The following is a 16403-nucleotide window of genomic DNA, read 5'->3' as shown; positions in this document are numbered from 1 at the left end:
AACTTTTGCAAAAAAAATTAAAGTCTATTGTGTAACCATAGCCTTTACAGTAGAATCTTTTATAGAACCTATTATGATGAATAACTTTTTGATTTACTGTAAAGCATGAAAACAAACACATAATAATTTATATCCATTAAGAAGAGTGAAGACATCCTGGAAATGCTCTTTAACCTATGCCTGCAATGTTCTCCTTAACCTATGCAGTAGATTAAGAGAACTGGCTCAGGCCAGACGCAGTGGTTCACACCTGTAATCCCAGCAGTTTGGGAGGCCAATGCAGGTGGATCAGGAGGTCAGGAGATTGAGACCATCCTGGCTAACATGGTGAAACCCCATCTCAACTAAAAATACAAAAATTAGTCGGGCATTGTGGCAGGCACCTGTGATCCCAGCTACTCGGGAGTCTGAGGCAGGAGAATGGCATGAACCTGGGAGGTGGAACTTGCAGTAAGCTAAGATTACACCACTGCACTCCAGCCTGGGTGACAGAGCAAGGCTTCAACTCAAAAAAAAAAAAAAAAAAAAAAAGAGGTGGCCCAGTGTTGTGTTTCTGACATTATAAAACAACACATATCCCATTAAAATTTCTCACTCATGTTGACTCTTCATTTTTCATCTATCAATGCATGGTTGGCTGCAGAATCCTCTACATAAAAAATACACCCCATGAGTACACAAGACTTGTTTTTATTTCTGTTGTTTATAGAGCCATAAGCAAGGGAAAATCTAAAAGCTAAAATCTAATAGTAGCAGAGAAGTCACGGTTTATCATCTTATAAGAAAGATGTCTATGCCAGTGATGTCATCTTCTTCTTAGGAGAAACTTCCTCGGTTGGACTTCAGGTGTCATTATTATCTGGGGTAAACACCTGAGTTTTGTTTTCTCATGCCAAGGAAGTCAAAGACACAAATACACAAAACATGAGTTTAAGAGTGAAGGTTTAATCGGCAAAAGAATAAGAAAAGAGAATAGTTCTCCATCTCAGAGAGAGAGAGGGTCACCGGAACAACTCTTCTGATTTCATGGTGAAATGCACAGGGTTTTATAGATGAGCTTGAAGAGGTGGTGTGTGATTTATATAGGAACCAGTAGATTTGTCAAACCAGGTGTGATATTTGCATAGCATGCAAAGTAACTGGCCATCTCACCCTAATGTTTTATTACTCAGATGGGGTTTCTACCTGGCCTGCACCCTGTGGTCTGTTTCTTACTGTACACATGGTTGACAAAAATGAAAAAAAAAAAAATTGAATATGGAGTCACCATGTTAAAAATGTCTGGACCCCAAGTAACCTTTTTCTTTTGACACAGCTGCTGGCATTCACTTCTGCAAGCTTCCAACTTGCTTATTTGTGTCTGCAGCTTAATTTTACAGGCTGCTGTTTCTTAGAAAAATAATAGTTTGTGTGCTACTTTCATTAAAAGGAAAATCTTACTGAGGGTTTCTGTTGTTTTGTTGTTGTTGTTGTTGTTTGTTTGTTTTTTGAGAGGAGTCCCTCTGAAGTCTATCTGCTCATCTCTAATATTAAGCCACAGCCTCCATAGAACCAGAATTGAGAGGGGAAGGGCAATGGATGGTTTAGAAAAAGGTAAAATTTGAGGAAAAACAAAACAAAACAAAAGAGGACATAATTTCTCACTTGGAGCTGTGGTCTTAAGCTTTGAAACTTGAGGGTGGGGCTTTGCCAGAGGCCCACATTTTCTGCCAAAAGTTTCTCTGGAAGCTGTCTTTATCAAATATCAACAGAATAAAGAATAGGAACTGTACAAATCATGTAAACATATGTGAATATAACATTTGATAAAATTCAACATTTATTTATGCCAAAAATCTTCAAAAATCTCTTAATAATGAAACAGGAATTAAAAAAAATTAAAGAATGTGTAAGCAAAATCTCAGTTGTATGTAAGAAAACCCAATTCCCCCTGAGGAAGAGGAAGAGCTGAAGTCCTTTAAAAATTAACTGCCTGTTTTTCTGTGGCTAGTGAGCCTTATCTCTCCCTTTCCCAGGTATTGTGAAGACCCTGTTTCTCTAGCTGTGCAGCTGCAAAGTCACTAGGCAGATAATCTCAAGTCGTAAAACATGTTGTTCCTTGAAAAGTAAGAACTGATGTAATGCATATCTCAATTGAATAACTGTCTTTGTTTCTCTCTTCTGTAATATGCTTTCCCCTACGCAGATCTTCCCCAACCCCATGAAATGCTTAAAAAGTAGCTTGACTCTTTTTTGGGGGCTCAGTCCTTTAGATGTTAATCTGACTGGGCCAGTGCACCTAACTAATAAATAATAAGTATCCTCCTCAACCCCTCGGTCTCTCAGATTCCTAAATTATCCTACTGCAATGAAAAGAACATATATCAACATAATAAAAACTGTATATGACAGACCAACAACTAGTACCATACTGAATGAAAAAAACTGAAGGCTTTTTTTTCTAAGATCAGGAATATGGCAAGGATGTCCACTGACATAATTTGTCATTCAACATAGAAGTAGAAGTCCTGGATAGATCATTCATACCAAAGAATAATATCAAGAGCATTCAAATCAGAATGAGAAAAGTAAAATTGTCTTTGTTTTTAGATCGTATAATTTTGACTTTGGAAACATTGTAAATATTTTGTGAGAAAAATATGAAAATATTAATTAATTCACTAAGTTGATGTACAAAATCAACAGAAAAAAATTAGTAGCATTTGTATATGCCAACAGTAAACAGTGTTGAGAAGAAATTAAAAAACTAATTATATTCAAAATAGCCACATATAGAAATAAATACTTAGAAATTAACTGATAAAAAATGAAAGAGCTCTATAATAAAAACTATAAAACAATAACAAAGAAAGTTTAAGGGGACAGAAAAAATTGGAAAATATTCCCTAATCATGGATTGAAGGAATTAATATTGTTAATATGTCTATATCACCAAATCTACAGACTTAATGCAAGCTCTATCAAAATATCAATGACATCTTTACATAAGTAGAAAAAACAATCCTACAATTAACATGTAGCTACCAATAATCTAGAATTGCTACAGCTGCCCTAAGCAAAGAGAACAAACCAAAAAAATTACATTACTTTACTTTTAACTACACTACAGATCTACAGTAACACAAAATGCATGGTACTAAAATAAAAACAGACACATAGACCAATGAAAAATAATAGAGAACCTAGAAACAAACCAACATACCTACAGTAAGCTCATTTTGACAACAATGCCAAAAACATACACTGGAGAAAAGACAGTCTGTTCAATTAATGATGCTCAAATGACCAGATATCCATATGCAGAAGAATAAAACTAAATCCCTTCTCTCACCACATACAAAAAAGAAATCAAAATTAGTTAAAAATTAAATCTAAGATAAAAATCTATAAGACTACTATAATAAAGCATTGGAAAAAAGCTGTACAATATTTACCGGGGCAAAGATTTTTTTGAAGAATATCCCACAAGCACAGCAAACTAAACCAAAAATAAACACATAGAATACCATCAAGTTAAAAGGCTCTGGCAAACAAAACCATACAATAAATAAAATGAAGAGATTCTCAAAGAATCTCTTCATTTTATTTTTAATCTCTTTGAAATCTATCCATTTTATTTTTAATCTCTTTAAAGACATTTAAAAAGTGTATACCTCACAAAACATTAGTAACCAGAATACATAATAAGTTCGAACAACCCACAGAAAATTAAATGAGAAAAAATTGAATATACCTTTTTCAAAAAGATATGCAAATGGCTAATGGCATAAAAAAAGTGCTCAACATCATTGACTGTTAGAGGAATGCAAATCAAAACTACAATTAGGTATTATCTAACCCCAGTTAAAAACATCCAAAAGACAAACAATAACAATTGCTGCCTACGATGTGGAGAAAAGGAAACCTTTGTACACTGTTGGAGAAAATGTAAATTTGTACAACCACTATGGAGAACTGTTTGAAGATTGCTCCTAAAACTAAAAATAAGCTATCATATGACCCAGAAATCCCACTTCTAAGTATATATCCAAAAGAAAAAAAAGTATATAAAATAGAGGTCTGCACTTCTGTGTTTATTGCAGCATGATATGCAATAATAGCTAAAATTTGAGAGCAACCTGTGGTCATCAGCAGATGAACTGACAAAGAAAATGTGGTACATGTAAACAATAGAGTCAGCCATAAAAAACAATAAGACTCAGTCATTTGCAACAACATGAACAAAACTGAAGATTATTATGTTAAGGAAAATAAACCAGGCACAGAGAAACAAATATTTTTTGTAAATACTTTTTGAGAGCAATTAAACTTGAAATCAATACAATTAAATGGATGGGCATAGAGAATAAAAGCATGTTTATCAGAGTCTGGGATGGGAAGCAAACAAGAATGGAGGGTGTCAAGATCACATTTAAGATTAGAGATTGTTTCATCCAGAAGTCAGCCTGCTCTTAAAAGGTTGAATGAGAGGGTTGAATGCTGGTTTTTGTGAGCATGGATCGGAGTACATGGGCCTGAAGAAAATAGATAAATTTAAGTAAAATTTGGTTAACAAGTGTTTTGATCTGACTATGGAAAACAAAAGCTAATGGTTTATAATAAATAAATGAGAATTTGCAGTTTCTTTGTCTAGTGTTGTGAGAGATGAATAAGAGATTATTATTTAAGTTATAATGGAAGGGTGTTTCTTTGCAGTAAGTTGCTCTTTCAGAACACTGAGAATTAAGAGATTTTAAAAACCAGAGCTATTTAACCAGTATTTATCAAATTTTTCCATCTTATTCCACCACTTTTTCTTGTCTTATACATGTCTGTTACCTGGCTGTTTCTGAGTTGAATTACTTGTTATAAGCTGGTGAACATAAATCAAATATTTATTTTATTACTGTCAGTAATTCTATCAAATTATTAGACTTGATGGGTTATGGGATCCTGTAATTCACAGAAAATTGCTCAGAATTATGATGGGCTCCCAGAGCCTGTGACTGGCAACTATTCTAGGGGCAGTTTGTAGGACTGAGTCCTGAACTTGTGTTTCTGTGCTAATCTAGAATGTAACATAATTGAATTGTTGGACAGTCAATTGGTGTTAAAGAATTAGTTGATGTACAGCTAACTTCAGACATTTTGTGTCAGACATATTTTTAGGAAAAGAAAAATAAAAGACATCACAGGTGATAACCTTAAACTGATTCCAAGTGAATTTGGACACTAGTGAGAAGTAAGACCCTGACAAAGAAAGTGTTTTCATCATGTCAGAAATAGACAGTGAAATGTGTGGGACTCTCAGAATTACATTTGTCAGCTTCTCAGGGTTTTTTACTTACTGTTTAGGAGCAAATTACACTGAGCAACTTCTCCACCAAGCTTAGGAATCTGTTTAACCTGCTGAGTATGTGGATTCTTACGAACTTCCAATAAAATAAGCTACTTCCCGTAGTTGCTTTCATTTTCTTTACTCTATAAAATCTTACTGCTATGTAAGTACAGCTTATTTCAACAATTCAATAATTTGATTTCATAACTTTGTAAAATTATTTTTTCTAGGTTGAAAGTAAGAGTAAATTTGTAATATAATTTGAGGAAACAAAGATAATTTCAACATAAATCAACTTGTTCTTAGTTTAAATAACAAGAATATAACTTTCCATGTACTCAGCAGGTAAATAAATAGGGCTTGAGCAGTTACAGTGTTTCTTTGATCTCATCTACTTTTCGTACCCAGGGTTGACCACAGTCCTAATTACTTTTATTATTTTTTGCAACTTAACTATCATGAAGAAGAGTTTTGCTTGGTTTTCCTATTTGAGTTTTGATTAACTTATATTGTCTTAAATACTTTATTACTATTACACTGAAATTGTATTTTATTGTTTGTTTGCCTCAGTTTGTTGTACACATACTGAGGTTTGAGGCCGAGAGTCATACAATTTACTCACCAATTTTACTTTTTTGGAACTTGAGTTGTTTAAATTTTTGTGTTTTTTTAATTTTTTGTTTACAATATTATTACTGACATTGTTTTTGTCTTTTTTTTACAAATTTGTTTATCTAAGAAAAAAACTGAGACACAAAATGAAATATTACAGAGTTTACTCTAGATAAGGTGAAGGTAGGTACCTGTAGGTTTCAGACGTATGTATCCTTGGATGTAAGCTCTGTTTGAATTTTGTTATAAGCAGGCTTTCAAAGGCAAAAACAAAAACAGGGTTAAACCAGTAGAAGTTTTGTGTCATGACTTCTCATTACTACACAGAAATAACATTGATTAGTGATTGGCTATACATTGCTATACTCTACGGTAATAACTTATGGTAGCCAGCAAGTGTATTTATTAGATTAATTATAGCTGTGTCAGTCTAGAGCCAACATAGCAAGCCAGTTCAAAAAATAGTTACTCAACCCATTGGTCTACATAGAAAATGGTACATCACAGTTTTATTATTCTTTTCCCTCTCTGAACCTGTAATTTAGAAAAGTTTTGCACTCTTCAAATAACACAGTTTATTTTTTCTTGTGTCCCCTTTTTTGATCAAAAATTTACTTTTGAAAAAATAATTAATTAAGTCTAAGTGTCAAGGCATCTCTCCTGTCCAAAAAGGCTCATTCTCTGACAAGTTTATCTCATGTCAGATGGGAAGAAAGAGATGTCTCAGCAACAAATTTTAAGAGTGCCTGAATACCTAAATAGGGATGTCATAACAGTGTGGCAAAAATAAGACTTCAGTCAAGTCATTTATTTACATAGTTTCTATTGCTTGTTTTATTATCTCATCTTTGGAATAGTATAATTTTACTTCTTTCAGAAGAAGTATAACAATGAGAGATACATATTATCAATAATATTAATAGTAGAAATGCAATGCACATTCAGACTATGAAGAAGTAATTTCTATACCAGAACAACAATAAGACCCAAAACCTAATCCATTAAGAAGGTAATTAAGAACATTACAAACATGATTAAAGACAGGTTTATATTCAGAGAATTGTGGTAGCTAAGTGGCTTCTTCTCTCATTTTTCCTGGATAAATTTTTACATAATGAGAAGTATTAACGTATACACAAGAAGTTTTTGTCACCATACATACACCTCTGTGCTTAGCTAACACATAATATAAAGCAATGTCATTGTCTACTGCTATCTCAGGCAGTGAACCATAACTTTTTTTGTAAACTGTAATGTAGATCTCAGCTTTATCAGCAATTTTTCCTAAGGCTATTAAATTATTTCCAATCATGGAAAGTTACATCACTTAAAAATAAAAGCATTCTCCCAATAATGTGGAAGAAACTAACTAACTTGATGACCAGAGAGATAATTAGGAAGTTTTCTTCGAGGAGAATTTCTATCTGAAATTGTCGGTGGTTAAGCCTAGGGAAAATTTTGAAAGAACTATTCCAGTGTTGGGTTACTTCAGAGCTGTGTATAGACAGAGAGTTAGAGAAATAACCTAAAAGACACGGCTCTTCAATTTAACAGCATGAGGATTGGCCACAAACAGCTTATCTGGATTCCTCCAGCAGAAGTAGAGAGGATTTTTTATTTGATGGTATTTGCAATAAACAGAATTTTCAGGTAAAGGCTATTATTTTTTATGTTTATTTTCCTGGAATATTGCTTTTAAAAAATCTTGAATCAATTTAAAATTTATAGTAAGGCACTTTATAAGGTCTTGCAAAAAAAAAATTACCTTTAAGGAGAGCTGCTTTGTAGGCTACTTTATCCAGGTGCATAGAACTTGCTATTATTATTCTAAAGGGGGAAACCTAGTATTTTCCAAATTAGACACAACATAGGTTGTATAATACCAATAAAAGAGCCTTAGGCCAGGAAGCTTAAAATTTCTGCAAATTTTCAATTTTTTAAATTAATCCATTTGTGCATTTTGCCAATCTAGAAAACAGAGAGAGGTACGCAGGATGAAAGTGTTTTTTTTTTTTTTTTTTTTTTTTTTTTTTTAAAAACCCATATGTAAAACTAGAATAAACTATTTGCCCAGTAAAATGTGTTTGTCTCTGTGAAGCTCAGAAGCTCAGAAAGATGTACCCCACAAAAAATTGATCAAGATTTAAAATGGTCATGATTAAAAATTCAATTAACAAAGATATTTGGTCATTTTTATTTTCCACATTTCACTCAAAAGATGAATCAAAGTCCTTTATTATTGCTTATGAATACTTTATATAAATCTTTTTTTTTTCTAAGATGGAGTCTTGTTCTGCCACCCAGGCTAGAGTGCAGTGGCACTATTGTGGCTCACTAGAACCTCTGCCTCCCAGGTTCAAGTGATTTTCCTGTCTTAGCTTTCGAGTAGCTGAGATTACATGTGTGCCACCATGTCCAGCTAATTTTTGTATTTTTTGTTTTGTTTTGTTTTGTTTTGAGTTGGAATCTTGCTCTGTCACCCATACTGGAGTGCAATGGAATGATCCTGGCTCACTACAACTTCTGTGTCCCAGGTTCAAGCTATTCTCCTGCCTCAGCTTCCTAAGTAGCTGGGATTACAGGTGCCCACCATGTTGTCCAGTGAATTTTTGTATTTTTAGTAGAGACAGGGTTTCACCATGTTGGCCAGGCTGGTCTCAAACTCCTGACCTCACGATCTGCCCACCTCAGCCTCCCAAAGTGCTGGGATTATAGGCGTGAGCCACTGAACCTGGCCAAAAATCTTGTTTAAAAAAGAATATTAAATTTTCTGTTTTATTGCATTATTAAATCAAAGCTAATTTTAATAAAGAGGTTGTGTAATCTCAATCAGTTCCACAGGTACAATTTTTATAAAACTTTTATTTATTCATTAGTTTGTTTTGTTCAGACAGGTCTCACTCTGTCACTAAGACTGGAGGGTAGAGGCATGGTCATGGGTCACTGAAGCCTCAACCTCTCAGGTCCAAGCAATTTTCCTCCCTCAGTTTCCTCAGTAGGTGGGACATAAGGCATATGCCAGCATGCAGAGCTAATACTTTGATTGCTTTGAATAAAACAGGGTTTTCTATGTCACCCAGGCTGACCTTGAACTCCTGAGCTCAAATGATCTTTCCAATTCAGATCCCCAAAATACTCGAATTAAAAATTTAAGCCACCATGGTGAGATCTATAAACCTTTTACAACTTCTTACAATTTTCAAATTAATTTTTCTTCAATTTTATATATGTATTCTATTCATCTATCTCATTTGTTAAATTTCTTCAATTTAATAAACAACCTCTAAATTAGGCAAAATTATTTTTATATTGCATCCTGTATCTCTTATTAGATTTTTTTTACTAAAAAGTCCATCTTATTTTCTTTATATGTGCCATGCATAGCATAATTTATCTTATTTCTAGTTTTAGTTACTGTATGTTAGAAAAAATGTTAAATTCTAGTAACAATAATTTATAGTAAAAACCTAAGAAGCAAACAATTTTTACTCATTCACATAACAAGAATTTAGGAGTACACATTTTATAATTTTTTAACATGTAGTTTTAATTAACAGTTTTTCAGATTGAAAAAGAACATGTTTACTAACATCTAGATATCTTTTATCTGAAATCAGATGTCAATATTACATAAGATTCAACTTATAATTAGTAATTAATGTCAGTTATTATATCATATTTAGAATTGATGCACATAACTAATAAATATTTATTATTTAATTTGGCTTTACAAAATTCTAAGCATATGGAAGCTGATACAGTCTGGCTCTGTCCCCACCCAAATTTTGAATTGTAGCTCCCTTAATTCCCACTTGTCAGGGGAAAGACATGGGGGGAGGTAGTTGAAGAATCATGTGGGCAGGTCTTTTCTGTGCTGCTGTTATAAGTGATAGTGAATAAGTCTTTTGGATTCTGTTAGTTTTAAAAAGAAGAGGTTCCTCACACATGATTTCTTTTTTGCCTACTACCATACAAGATGTGCCTTTCACCTACTGCCATAATTATAAAGCCTCCCCAGCAGTGTGGAATTGTGAGTCAATTAAACCTCTTTCTCTTTATAAATCACCCAGTCTTGGGTATGTATTTATCAGCAGCATAAATATGGACTAATACAGTAAATTGGTATTAGGTAGTAGGTTGCGCCTCTAATGATACCTGAAAATGTGGAAGCAGCTTTAGAATCCAGTAACCAGCAGAGGCTGGAACAGTTTGTAAGCCTCAGAAGAAAATAGAAAAACATGAAAAAGTTTGGAACTTTGCCTAGAGATTTGTTGAATGGCTTTGACCAACATACTGATAGTGATATGAACAGTAAAGCCAGGTTGAGATGGTCTCAGATAAAAATGAGAAGCTTTTTGGAAACTGAAGTAAAGGTCAGTTTTGCTACTGAAGGCATTTTGTCTCTTCCCTGGACATCTGTGAGACTTTGAACATGAGAGAGATGATTTCGGGTATTGGGTGGAAGAAATTTCTAAGCAGCAAAGAGTTCAAGAGAAACAAAAGTATGAACGTGTGGAAAATTTGCAGGCTGATAATGCAATGGAAAAAGAAAAGCCATTTTGGGGGAGAAATTCATGCCTGCAGCAGAAATTTGCATAAGTAGTAAGGAGCCCTGTGTTAGTCACAAATTAGAAAATCTGTTAGTCACAATGGGAAAAATGTCTTCAGGCAATGTCAGAGAGCTTCATGACAGTTTTTCCCATAACAGACACAGAGGCCTAGAAGATAAAAATGGTTTTGTGGTCTAGGTCCAGGGACCTTTGCTGTGTGCAGCCTAGGGACTTCTTTTTCTGCATTCCAGCTGCTCTAGCCATGGCTACAAGGAGCCAAGGTACAGTTTGAGACCATGGTTTCAGAGAGTGCAAGCTCCAAGAAGAGTTGGCATCTTCCATGTAGTGTTGAGCCTGTGGGCTCATGGAAGTCATAAATTGAGGTTTAGAAACCTCTATCTACATTTCAGAAGATTTATCTAAACAGGTGGAAGTCCAGGCAGGAGTTTGCTACAGGGGCAGGGCCCTAATGGGAAATTTCTGCTAGGGCAGTATAAAAGGAAAATGTGGCGTTGAAGCCTCCGCACAGCATCCTCACTGAGGCACTGCCTACTGGAGTTCTGAGAAGAAATTCATTGTTCTCTAGAACTGAGAATGGTAGGTCCACAAAGCTTGCAGACACTCAATACTAGCCCATAAAGAAGCTAAAAGAGAGGCTATATCCTGCAAAACCACAGTGCTGAAGGTGTCTATAACCATGGAACCCACCTCTTGCATCAGCATGTCCTGGTTGTGAGACATGAAATCCAAGGAGACTAGTTGAGAGCTTTAAGATTTGGCTGTGGCCGGGCGCAGTGGCTCATGCCTGTAATCCCAGCACTTAGGGAGGCCGAGGCAGGCGGATCACAAGGACAGGAGACTGAGACCATCCTGGTTAACACGGTGAAACCCCCGTTTCTATTAAAAATACAAAAAATTAGCCAGGCGTCGTGGCGGCCGCCTGTAGTCCCAGTTACTTGGGAGGCTGAGACAGGAGAATGGCGTGAACCTGGGGGGCGGAGTTGCAGTGAGCCGAGATTGCGCCACTGCACTCTGGCCTGGGCGAAAGAGTGAGACTCCATCTCAAAAAAAAAAAAAAAGATTTGGCTGCCCTGCTGGATTTTGGACTTGTGTGGGTTCTGTAGTGTCTTTATTTTAGCCTTTTTTTTTTTTTTCATTTGGAAGAGGTATATTTACCCAATGCTTATATCTCCATCCTATCTAGGAAGTAATTAAGTTGCTTTTTTGATTTTACAGGCTCATAGTGGAAGTGACTTACCTTGTCTCAGACGAAACTTTGAAATTTGGACTCTTGAGTTAATGCTGAAATGAGTTAAGACGGTGGATACTGTTGGGAAGGCATGGTTAGTTTTAAAATGTGAAGACATGAGATTTGGGAGGGGCCTGGGGCAAAATGATATGGTCTGTATCCCCATCCAAATCTGGAATTATAGATCCTATAATTTCCACATTGTCATGGGAGGGACCCAGTGAAAGGTAATTGAATCATGGGGGCAGGTCTTTCCCTTGCTGTCCTCATGATAGTAAATTAAGTATCATGAGATCTGATTTTTTATGAAAGGGAGTTCCTACCATCATATAGGACGTACCTTTCACCTTCCACCATGATCGTGAGGCCTTACCACCTCTGTGGAACTATGAGTTCATTAATCCTATTACTTTATAAATTATGCAAAGTTGAGTATGTCTTTATCAGTAGTTTGAAAATAGACTAATACAAAAACATTTCTAATAAGCATACTATTAAACATTATTATTATATACTTATCTCCAAAGTTTTACTTAAGTTTATTACATTTATCCATTCTTAACTATATATGGAAATTCTCATGAGACATTAGAAAAATCCCTTGTCTCCATGACCATTTACTCATTCTCACTCAGGGCATTCTAGCAACAAAACGATTATCTATTTTTTTTCAGATTTGATTTCTCATGTCATATAAGTAGTCAAGAAGCCTGTTTTTAAGCTAACTGCCACTGCAGGGCTGGACTTTGCTTTCTTTGAATATGACCCTAAAGGTCTTGATGCATATTGAGAAGGGTATGGAAGTGAACAAAAAAATGGGGGCTATGGAGAAAGTGGGAGGAATACTTTGGGAAAGCCTTCATACGCTTGCCAAACCAGCAGCCCTTGGATCCCAAAGGGCAATGATTTATATGCTCTCTTGACATAAAGTAATAATCTTCAGAGGACTTGGGTTTGAGGTAAAAACTCCAAAATGTCAAAGGGAGAAATTTTTCTCCACTTAAAGGGGTACTAACAAGAAAGGCAAGTAGGTGGATTCCATAAAGAACCAGAGTGAGGCCACATGCTGTGGACAAATTGCCTCTAAAGCCACTAGAAAATTTACTACTGTGGTGTAACAGAAATAAAAAGCATATGGTATTATACGGGTTCTGGCAAAGCCAGAGTTCCATCTAGTGTCTGTCCTAACCATGTGCCAGCAGACAGAGGAAGGGCTGGAAGTCATCTAAGCTGATCGGGTAAGAACAAGTATAAATCTCAGGGGATATCTGCAAGGGAGTCCATGTCTTTGCTGCCACACTAATAAAGTGAGAGCTAGGGGTGCAAAAATAACAGGCAGTATGTGCTTAAAAATTCACATGGCATGCAATGTGAAAGCAAAGAGGTAGGTTTGTCTCTTAAGGTTGATAGTATGGGTGTGTGCAAGGCCATTTCAGAACACATATAGAGAAAACAGAAGAAAAAGCAGTGTGCGTTATTGGGGAAAAGCCATGGTTAGTTGAAAAATCAGGGTAAACCACAGACATTGCACAGTTTTAGGGTTTAACCCTCCCACTCTCATGAGCCTCCTGTCCAGGAGGGCCATTAGTGGTTCATTTCCATCCCCACCAAGAGTCACTCATCAGGCTGACCTGAGAGATCAGCCAGTGGAAGCAGAGGCACTGGGAATTATTCTAGGGATATGTTATTAACCAGGAGAGAGAAAGAGAGAAGAAAACCATATACAGGGGTTGAATACATCTACCAAAGAAAAAAAGACTGCAGTTTTCTTAACACTAGAAAATGGATTTGAGTAACATAACATCAAAATATGTTACAGGCAGTTAATTAGTATGGGTCTGAAGTAACCTGAATTCTTTCCTCCTCAGAAAAAAAATAATTTGACTGAGAGGTTTACTGAAGAATGAAAGAGTAAGGCAAGTTTTCAAGCAGAAGTGAAATTTTATTAAGAATTTACACCAGAAGAGAAAGGAAGGACAGTACAGTTGGAAGAGGCCCAAGTGGGTGAGTTAAGAGATTAAGTGCATAATTTGATCTTTGATTTAATATACTTTGGCATACTTTTGGAGTTGTGTTCCTTTCCCTCTTACTCTTCACTTGGGGTGGGCTATCCACAGGTACAGAGGTCTGCCAGCACTTGCAAGATGACCCCATCAGTATATTTATTCAAGTCGTATACACACTCCCTTAAGGTATTCTTTTGTTACCAGGCAAATGTCCCTAGAAGGTCATATACGTAGTTAAATTCTATCATTTTGCTTCTTCATGTGCATGCTTAAGCCCACTTACCCAAACCCTAAAATTGTATTAATAAGCTGCTGATTACCAGTTTCATGTGTTTTTGTTTATTGGGAGACTGCCTTTCCCTGCAATTGGCTGTGACCAATTATTACATTAGGGAGACAGTTTAAAAACACCTGAGTATTACCTAACGGTTACTTAACATTGCCAGTTGTGAGGGGGTCCTCTCCTGGCCTGTCATGTTTGCATGACTACTTATTATTACAGATTGAGCACCCAGTGTAACACATACAAGGGCTTTCCACCCAGTAATGGGTACCTGCACTTATTTGGGGACACTCACCAAGTGTTCGTACCAGCATGAAGCCCTAGCACCGAAATTTTTTTTGCCAATAAGTGGATGACCCTTTGGAAAGTGAATCTCAAAATCCCTCAACAGTTGTAAATGAAACCCCTTTTCAATGGCTGCAAGCCCAAGATAAATTGTGATTTGTGTCTCCAGTGGATATTCTTTCTGTTCCTATTGTGAGACAAAGCCCCTCCATTTTTTTAGCTTCATGCCTGGGCTACATTTTAAAACACTGGAATAAATTTAACCCTCAGACTCCAAAAATAATTTAACTTTTTAGTGCAATACATGATGGTCCCTATGAAATAAATTCTTATATTAGCCTTGTTAGTCTTTTAACTGACAGCAGAATAAGAAGACAGTGCTAAGAAGAAAAAAAAAAATGCAAAAACAAGAACTAGGATGATTTTTGCTGCTTTAAAAGGTTAAAACCCTTCCAGTTTGTCCTAAGGACACTTTTCTTGTAACTGTAACCAGTACAGAAGGCCAGGACACTGTAAGGCGAACTGCCACCAATGATATAAATGGGAAAAAGCCTCTCACGATTTGTCCACTCTGCCAAAAACTCAGCCATGAAAAAACAAAACTGCCTTGAAAGCAAAGGGGTCCCTGGGAGAGAGTCCCCAACCCTGATGACCTTAAGCTGCAGGAGCTCTTTGCTCTGGCTGGCTTTCAATTCAGACATAGTCATTAACAAGATAAAGTCAAGAGCAAATCTGAGACATTAAATAGAATTAAATTAAATTTTATTTTCCGAGTTTAAAAAGCTGCCTAATCTGTGCTAATCCCTGAGCAACCCTCCTCCAATTCCTCTTAGGTAATGGAGGCAAATGGCATGCCCTTTGTATTAGCTTATTCTCATACTTCTCTGGATAAAAACCTGAGATTCAGTAATTTATAAAGAAAAAGAGGTTTAATAGACTCACAGTTCCATATGGCTGAAGAGGCTTCACAATCATGGTAGAAGATGAAGAAGGAGCAAAGGCAAATCTTACATGGGAAGCAAGACAGCATGTGCAGGAAACTGCCTTATTGAAATCATCAGATCTCATGAGATGTATTATGTTGAGAACAGCATGAAAAAAAATAACTCACCCCCATGATTCAATTACCTCCCACTGGGTTTCTCCAGTGATATGTGAGGATTATGGGTGCTAAACTTCAAGATGAGAGTTGGGTGGAAACACAGCAAAACCATATTGCCCTCCATTTGAAAGGAAATTGTTACATATATTAGATAGGCAAGAGTGGGACAGGAGAGGGCTCTTCCCACCCCTCACCAACTAGGAATGTCAAGTAATGGTTTGCCAATTATCACACTGCCTCTCTAAAAATGATAGTTTTGCAGCCCATCTACAGTGCCAGGAAGATGCCATTTCCGATGATTAACAGGTGTTAACATTAAAGTGTTAATTGAATTCAGATGTCAGAGGGAAGAAACTTCCTGGGCATGGACAATAAAAGACAAAATATGACCTTCCAGGTACACTCCAACAGAAAAAGGAAACAAAGCCACAGTTGAGGAACTGTAAAACTTTCTAAACACACTGCATGTGCTTTAATTCCACAGGTAAGAGGGGGACTGCACATGTGGGAAGCCCACACTAAGGGAAGAATCATGGGAAAGAGGTAAGCCTACAAAGCCTATAAAGCTCTAGGATCTAAGCTAATCTTTTAATGTTCACATGCCTGGTTGAATATCTTCCAAGCTTTTTAAATTTTTTGTTCTAAAGCCTTTTAAAATAAACTTCCACTCCTGTTCTGAAACTTGCCTTGACATATTTCTGTTTTATTCCCCTCAGCCAAATACTTTCTTATGAAGAGGGCGGGACTGAAGTTCCTGCAGACCAATCTAAGTATGTCAACAGTAACTCAGGTAACTTGGATTCCTGCCACAAGTAACTTACTTTGTGAGCATTAATCAGACAACTTCCTAGTGGTAAGGTATCTTCATACCTTATTTTCTTTGGCTGGAGGCATCCAACCCCCATGGATGATATCTCCTGCTCCATCTGTTTTTTCTATATATGGTCTGAAATGGCTTTGTGCAGATGTCAGAACTTCTGCCTTGAGGGCAAGCCTGTC

The sequence above is a fragment of the Homo sapiens genome, chromosome Y, assembly GCF_000001405.40.
Source record: "Homo sapiens chromosome Y, GRCh38.p14 Primary Assembly".
NCBI classification, from domain to species: Eukaryota; Metazoa; Chordata; class Mammalia; order Primates; family Hominidae; genus Homo; species Homo sapiens.
This window is presented reverse-complemented; position numbering follows the sequence as displayed.